This window comes from Homo sapiens, chromosome 5 (genome assembly GCF_000001405.40).
Source record: "Homo sapiens chromosome 5, GRCh38.p14 Primary Assembly".
NCBI classification, from domain to species: domain Eukaryota; kingdom Metazoa; phylum Chordata; class Mammalia; order Primates; family Hominidae; genus Homo; species Homo sapiens.
In genome coordinates this window covers 4,374,091-4,382,347 of record NC_000005.10, presented here as the reverse complement: position 1 = coordinate 4,382,347, position 8,257 = coordinate 4,374,091, and the positions used below count along the sequence as shown (strand labels likewise).

Genomic DNA, 8,257 nt, shown 5'->3' with positions numbered 1-8,257 from the left:
GAGGCAGAACAACTCAGAGGGTGGACAAGACCTTACTATGTCAAACCGATATCCATTGAAAAGACAGAAGAGACATTTTTTTTTTGTCCTGGACCATCAGAAACTGAACAGAAATTTCTTGGATGTTCAGATTCCACTGGTGAGAGCTGAAGATTATCCTGTTAGAATGAAATGATGCCCAGATTAACTCATTCAATGATGTCTGGATTAACTTTTTTAACATATCAGATTAACATACATCCTTAAAAATAGTGGTTTCCACACTGTTTTATTTTATGTGCTCATTATAAAATGTAAGTGCATATCAATGGCAATATTCTTACACATGAAATATTTAAATTTTAAACTTCCATAGAAAGATACGTATTGCATTTATCATTGTGTTGGATTTTGTTTATCGTTGTGTTTGTTTGACAAGCATTGAGAAGACTACAACTCTTTCCTGAAGAGCAAAAGGAGTCCATCTTTACTGATTTTTAAATGTAGATTAAATGGGAAAGCTTCTGAAGAAAGGCAGAGAGAAGTTGTTTCAGTTCAGCTATTCTAAAGGAAGTTCTGTGTAGTGCCTAAAGTGAGAAATGCATTGTTCAATGGCATAGATATTAAAAAAAACACCTAAAAAACAATCAATTGCTTCGAAACTCATGGTAATGTATGCATTCATGGAAATTACCACGGTAAGAGAAAAGAAATTCTAAAATGTGTCTAGTATTGCAACGATACAAAGAAGTGATTGGGTAAAACTCAGTCATTTATCAACCGGTTGTATGCTTTCTTGGAGGATAAGGTTTCCAATATTCCTAGGACTATTGCCATACTTATAAAATTAGATTACATGTAATTTATGCACAAAAATAAAATACAAACAGTGTTTATAAATATAACAAATTAATAAAATTCAAATGTATCACTGAAATATATCATGATTTTATTTTAAATTACTTCAATTTAAATGAGGTGAAAGCTTTATAACTCAATAAACTCATTTACTATTAGAAAAACATCTTCAACAGAAACAAGCATTACAAATGGAATCGTTTGCTTATAATAAACCTGCATACATCTGTATGTGTGCACATTCACACATATCCACACTGAGAGTTATGTGACCTATGGAATATGTCTGCATACAATTCACAAGAATGAACCATGTGATAGCTCCACGTTTAACCCTCTCAGAAGCACTGGAGTAGTAATGCTCCCTAGGTACCTAATAGGGGAAGTAGCAATGCATTCAAAGCACTCTAGTCTCAGGATGGAGCTGAGATTTGAACCTGATCTCTCTGGCCATGAATGCTGAATGCTAGGTGCCGTGCCCATCTGCCCATCAGTCTGAAGGTACATAGTCCTTAACCATGTGTAGACATGGGCATTGGCCCAGATACCAGATACCTGCACCCTGAGATGATTATTCACATTGCATTTTTTTCTGCTTCTAATATTTAAATTCCATTCTTATGTTAAGAGACTATAACTGTTTATTCAACTAGTAACATCCAACCTTATCTAAATGGTGATACCCAATTCTGGCCTATAAAAGTGCACACTCTGATAAAACAACCTACAGTGATTTATAAAACTGGCATATATGTTCATTAATAGTCTATTTGAATTTGTTTATAAATATTTCCACACAAAATGTTCGCATAACCATATCTGTATCTGTGAATGCACATATATTTTCCTCTCCATGAATTAGAGATAGCTCTGAGTGTGTGAGGGAATGCAAACGGGATCTGGTCTATGTCAAAGAAATAGAATTGCACAGGCAGAGAGGAAAGTCAGGGAGCCCCACTGAACAATAAAATATTCACAAAGTAAAGCCCACACCACAAATAATTGAATTAAACAATGGTGATACAGACAGGGGCACTGTCTGGGGATTAATGATCAGCTGGGAGAGTTGATCGTCCGAGAAGGGCATCAATCCCCCAGAAAATACCCTGCACCAAGGTCACGGTGACTATAAGAACCCATTCTTTTTTGCAGTGGAGGCTTTAAAAATCCTTAATTTTTCTTGGTTTCCTGCCGTATTATCATTCCTTCAGGTGATTGTGGGAGAGATGACTTTGAATGATGCCAGATTGAACTTACTATTTCAGAATAATTGATCTCCAAGGCATCAACCAATCAAACACATTCTTCCAGAGTGGAATATTTTATCTGGGCTGAGTAATATTTCTGAGTTTTTCAAATCATGAAAATGTAGTAAACCCTTGAATAAAATTTGTGCTTTATGCTGAACCATAATGCGTTTGGAAGAAGATGTTATTAAACATATAGTCTTAGTTTTCATTGTCATTCAAAATGGGAATAAGGACACAAACCACACAATTAGTGAACTTTACTTGCAACTTCTCATCATGTCGTTTGTATATAAAATCTATATAGATTTTTGTATATAGATTTTTATGTACAAATGACATGATGAGAAGTTGCAAGTAAAGTACACAATTAAATCTGAACACTACATTGTAAAAATATTTATAAATAAAAATGTGTAATGACTTTTCAAAATCACAAGTTTGCATAATTGAATTTTTTAAAATCATTATCTACCAAGACATATTCATTATCCATTAGTAACATATGTCTTGTTTATGTACTTGTCAATAAATAATACAATAAAACAACGTTACAAAAAATACAACAGTAATTACTGTTTGCAAAATTCGGTCTAAGTTTGGAATTTAACAAGTTGGATTTTTTTCAAATTAAAATTTTCACTTGAATGATGGTGTCTTAAACTTTTACTAGTTGGCGGTATTTTCTGTGCTGTTTCAGATTTTCGTAGTCTTTTATGTCTCCAGCGTCCTTCATCCTGAAGATTACAGGACAATACCAGAGACCCTGGCAGAAGGGCACAGATCTGGCTTCCCGGAGACTGCTAAAGGCTCCAGGTGAGGCAACCCAGCGGTGCGGGGGAGTTACCGCCACAGGGAGCAGACTTTCAACCAAAGAAGTCCTCAAAAAGAGGCAGAAAGCTACAACGACTCTCTCTCCATTCCTCCCCTCAAGGGACTGGTCACCCAACAGACTAATTTTCCTCACGAAGCAGTGACCCCATGTGCAGAATTTCCTGGTGCCCCACCCCTCCTTCCTGCCTTACTTTTCTTTGACTTCAACTACACATCTCTGGGACTGCACTCCCCAATCAAACAACAGCATCCAAGTCTTACCCTAGTCTTCTTTCCTAGGATCCCAGACCAAGAGAGGTCATACTCAGTTATGCAAGCTTAACAAAATGATACTCATGTTATCCATAAACTACAAAAGAGTTCTGAGTATGAGCAATTGTTTTTCTCAACTTTTGACATTTTCTTTTTTTCACAGAATTAGCAATTTTATTTATTCGTAGTGTATTTAAACCTAGATTGTAGGTAAAGTTGAACATTTGCGTATTTGGTTAATCAAATTATAATTTGAACATTACCTGCCTAATTTATTATTCTGTATTCTTTCAACCCCATCATGTTTCAATACCTTAGGTGATATGGGACTGAATTCTATCTATCCATGTTTGTGTCTGTTCCTGACTTTTCTTGGTTCATAGGCTTTTGAACAAAATAAAATAGTGTTTTAGCAGATACTACTAGTTTACTTTTTACCCATTCTCCCCCTCTGTGATGTAACAGAATCTAACTTAATGAACAGCAGCAATGTGTCCTCTTCTTCCTGGGTCCCTTTCAGATCGAGGGACCTGATGGGACATCTGCAGTTGTTGGGATTGGGCTGGTGACCATTCACTGCTTCCAAGCACCTTGACTTCCACCTTCTAGTTCTTCCAGCATATCCAGCACTTCAGGAGGTGACCTGTAGGAAACAGATAGAGACTGAGAGGGAGAGCCCAACAGATCATGGGGAGATGGGGTACGTATTCCTTCGGCTGCATCCCTTAACTGAACATCAGAGCTCTTGTCCAACAGCTGTCTCCATGCAGCCCTCTCTGTTTCCAACACTCCATAATTTCTAGTGTGCCAGCTTTTCTTGAAGAGAAGATTGAGATTAGACACCGAAGAGCATCCCTCCATTAATAGATGTTAATGAGTCTCTCTGGAGATGTGTCCAACTCCCGCAGTATGATCTCTTCATACTTGAAAATTATTATTTCTCTGTATTTTATTGCCTCTTTCTTCTTTAACTTGCATTTAAAAACATCAAGCCCTTCCATCTGTTCATCACATCAACATTTTTTCTTTTTCTCTTCCAAACTGTGGTTACTCAGCATTCTGTCTAAAAGCAGGCTGTTCCCCAACTTTCCCTGGGGAACTGAAGGCCCATGTGATTTCCCATGGAGTAATTTCCAAAATACACCTGCCACATTCTGTGTTCTAGGTCCTCAAGCTTGAGAGGCAATTTCTTTGAGTGTATCTAACTTAGCCTATTGCTCTAGAGGTAATGTAAGGCAGAACAAAAATGTTGTTCTTGTTTTTGTCATTGTTTTAATGTGGCTTTCCTCTGTTGGACTCTACTTATTTCCATAAAGGCACCTATAAGATCTTCTCCAGCCTGGCGACAGAGCCAGATTCTGTCAAAAAAAAAAAAAAAAAAAAAAAAGACACCTACAAGATCTTAATCAGTCAGTTAAAGTTACATCAGGCATGTTTAAAGAGAAATGTTAGAATAATCTATAGTCATGTTCACAAGGAAAGTCATTTTCTTCTGCTACTTTGAGATGGAAATTGGACCTGGATATTAGCCTGCCATTCAGGAATCTACACATGGCCTTTCTCTCTGAGTCCATTCAACTCACAATCTCTGTAGCACAGGGGAAAGCTGGCAGGACCTCGATAATCCCACATGATGAGTAGGCGGTAAGCACCCTCACCCTCAAAGAACCCCAAAGTAATATTCGGCCATCATGTCCAGATTTATCTACTGAAACATGATTTCAAATTTAGAAACTGGGTATTTAAACTGGTTGTTCTCAAATTTTTCTATTTTCCACATCAACAATAATTTTGCTCTTTTCTTTGAGGGTAACAAAAATACAGATCTGAAACTAAAATCAGGAAAGAGAGCCCCAGACTAAACACAATGAGTGCTACATTCACTGGGCATGGAAGGGCAGACCTACTTTTTCTTGGTCTTGGCTTGTTGAGAAGCTCTCTATGCAATGTCCTCAAGGCAGGGTGGTGGCCCAGCTCCTGTGACCTCTGCAAGTAACACCACCATCACCAACAACAATAATAATAAAAATAATACGTTTATTATTGATCAGTTTATTTGGCAGCATACTTTACTGATGCCAGAGTCCATAAAATTCTATTCTGTAAAATACTGCGAAATTCAGAGGAATTTTCCTATGAATAGCACTACGGTAAGTGTACTTACGAAATAGAACCTCATCCAGGGTGTTCTAATTTATCATATTAGTTTCACAAGCTAACAGTAATCAACTCTCATGAAAAATATTACGAGAGCAATTTATTTATATTTTGCAAGAAGGATTTCAACAACCATGCCTTTCAGCATATTGTTTATTTTTAACTTCATATTACAATCGTCATATAACAATATGATAATATGAGTATTGTAATCTCCTGCATTTCAAAATTCATCATGATCTTTAACTGCCAAGATCCTTTACAGGATGAACAGCTGCATGTTGAAGAGTGTTGGAATCCAAGTTACTTTTATGTTTTTTTGGGAGCAGCAGGTTAGTCACTACCTTTCCCCTACGCTGAATCTTGTCAAAGAAAATGACAAGAAAAAAGAAACAAAGCAAATACCAAACACACAAGTGAAAAGGGAACGCTGGAATGGAGTATGTGTTGACACAGAAGTGCTCTATGAAAGATTTCCACTCACTTCATTATAAACTGAAAATGCTACAGGAATCTTTTGCAAAGCTCTTCATGGGGGAACCTGCTAGGTACATTAGTTATTCCCTCTAAAAGAAGATTTTTTTGGAGGAAATTAATCCTCAGGCTGAATGCATGCCATATCATGTATAAACAAAGCAATTGTTTAGAAAGACTGAATTAAAGCAGAAGCAGTCCCTCACCTGGGATCCTGCATTCAGCCCAGACAGGTGATCTGTCCACTTCCGCCTCAGTCACCAAGGTCAGGACCCCCAGCTCAGCTTTGCACTTGCAGTCTGTCCCCTTCCACCCCTTTTCTAAACTGAAATAGGATCCTCTTTTCCAAACCAGTCTCTAAACCTGGACCATGACATCTGACTTTGTTACCAGATGCAGCTTGAGTCCACACTGTTCCAGTCTCACCCACCAACTGGATCCACCGATGGTTATTCTGTTACTACACCCTGTAGTTTCTCCTTTATTCACTTAGTTATTTATCTGTCCACCCATCCATTCATCAAAGGTCTGTCAAGCCTCCCTGACAACACTTTGTATTCACATTTGTAGACACAACAGCTGCCCAGTGAAAAGACAGAGAAGGCCTGAGCTCTCACCAACCTTTCCCTCTAGGGGAGGAGAAAGGAAATAGCCCAATTCAGAAATACCAACCTAAAGTGAAAGTAGCAAATGTCAGTGGGTAGAGCACAGGAAAAGGGCACCAAGCTTGGGTGGTTTCCGTCGATGGGGTGGGCAAGGAAGGCTTCTCTGAGAAGTAACACGGAGAGCTGAGATCTACGGAACAAGAAGGAAACAGCTGGGTACAGACGGGCATGGGGTACAGACGGGAGGCTTTCTGAAGAACCACAGCACAGTTTATAAGGCCGGGAAATGACTCTCATGTTCCCATGACAGAAAGAAGGCTGGTGGGACTGGAGGACTAGAATACAAGCTATAAGATGGGGTCACAATTTTAGACAAGGGCCAGATCGCACTGGGTTTGCTGTCAAGGGAAGACTGCATGTGTATAAAAGGAAGGCGTTGGAGGGCAGGGGCATTATCTGACAGTGACTTCAAAGTGACAATGGGGGGGCTAATTGGTCACAGATTCCTTAGAATATTTTGCTGTCACACAACCTGAAACATAGTTTGCATTTCCTACAAAGTACAGTGGTCCCCTTTTATCTAAGGGGCATCTAGTCCAAGAGCCCCAGTGATACTTAGAACTTCAAGTAGAACCAAACTCTCTATATACTGTTTTCTCCTGTGCGTATACCTCCTGATAAAGTTTAATTTACAAGTTAGGCCCAGTATTCTTGCATTTGGGGGCCATTATTAGGTCGAATAATTGCTATTTGAACACAAGCACTGAGATAACAGGACAGTCTTTCTGTAACCGAGAGGGCTGCTAAGTGACTCATGGGTGGGTAGGCGTAGATAGCATGGGTGTGCTGAACAAAGGGAGGAGTCATGTCCCAGGCGGGATGACACAGGAAGGCGTGAGATTTCATCACGCTACTCACCATTTAAAACTTCTGTATTTTTTATTTCTGGAATTTTCCATTTAACATTTTTGGATTGTAGTTGACCTGGTAACTGAAACCACAAAAAAATGAAACTGCAAATAAAGGGGGACGACTGTGTTACAAAACCCTTTGAAACAGTCATAAATGGCAAAATTTAAATAAAATTTGGAGACTGGGAAGCTGAGCGGTTCTGTGGTTGTTGTAAAGGATGTGATAGAAAATACATTCTCAATATTTTGTGTTTTTTTTAATTGAAAGCAAAATAACTTTTCTGCATTATTTTTTATTTTAAGAGAGTATCAGTTTGGGGCAACACATTTTGTACGTACGAGCATGACCTTTCAAGAGAGTTGGAAAAAATAGGAGAACATAGCAACCAACAGCCTAGGGAGAGGAAGCCTCACAGCTTATGTATGTGTCCTAAACTTCGCAAAAACTGGTTTTGATTCTTTAGACATTTGTGTGGTTGTTGGAGTCACACGATGTTCTCTCCCCTTTCTCAATTTCACAGCTATGTTGCTCACATCGTGGACACCAGAGCAGTCTCTATAATTTGCTGTCATCATTTTTGAGAGTATGTGTATGAGGGAGTTGGTAAAATTTCCTGCAATGACTTTAGAAAATGTAGATACATTTTTTAACATTTCTAAAGAATTTTTATGTTTGTATCTTGTGAAAGATTAACATTTACAAATAAGAAAACATAGAATTTGTTGTAGATTACTCTTACCATTTCTTTCTTGAGTACAAATTCTTGTCTTGAGCCATTTTTTTTCCAAATGAATGAATTGGCCAACAGGCTGAAGTGAACAGACATAGGTATAGGAATACTTTTGTGAAGTTGCCTTGCAGTCAGGATTCAGAGAATTCATACATATCCTACTTATATTTGAAAAGGCAGTGGCATAAGAACTATAAATTTGCAAGTGA

At 38.2% G+C, this 8,257-nt stretch overlaps 1 annotated feature.

Annotated features, from left to right (window-relative positions):
* Positions 6,536-7,735: an enhancer, noted in NCBI's record as "MED14-independent group 3 enhancer chr5:4374726-4375925 (GRCh37/hg19 assembly coordinates)". NCBI's record gives its function as "activates an origin of replication core promoter dependent on BRD2, BRD4, P300/CBP and CDK7 cofactors, and independent of MED14, by STARR-seq in HCT116 cells {active_cell/tissue: HCT116}" and the evidence as "EXISTENCE:reporter gene assay evidence [ECO:0000049][PMID:35650434]".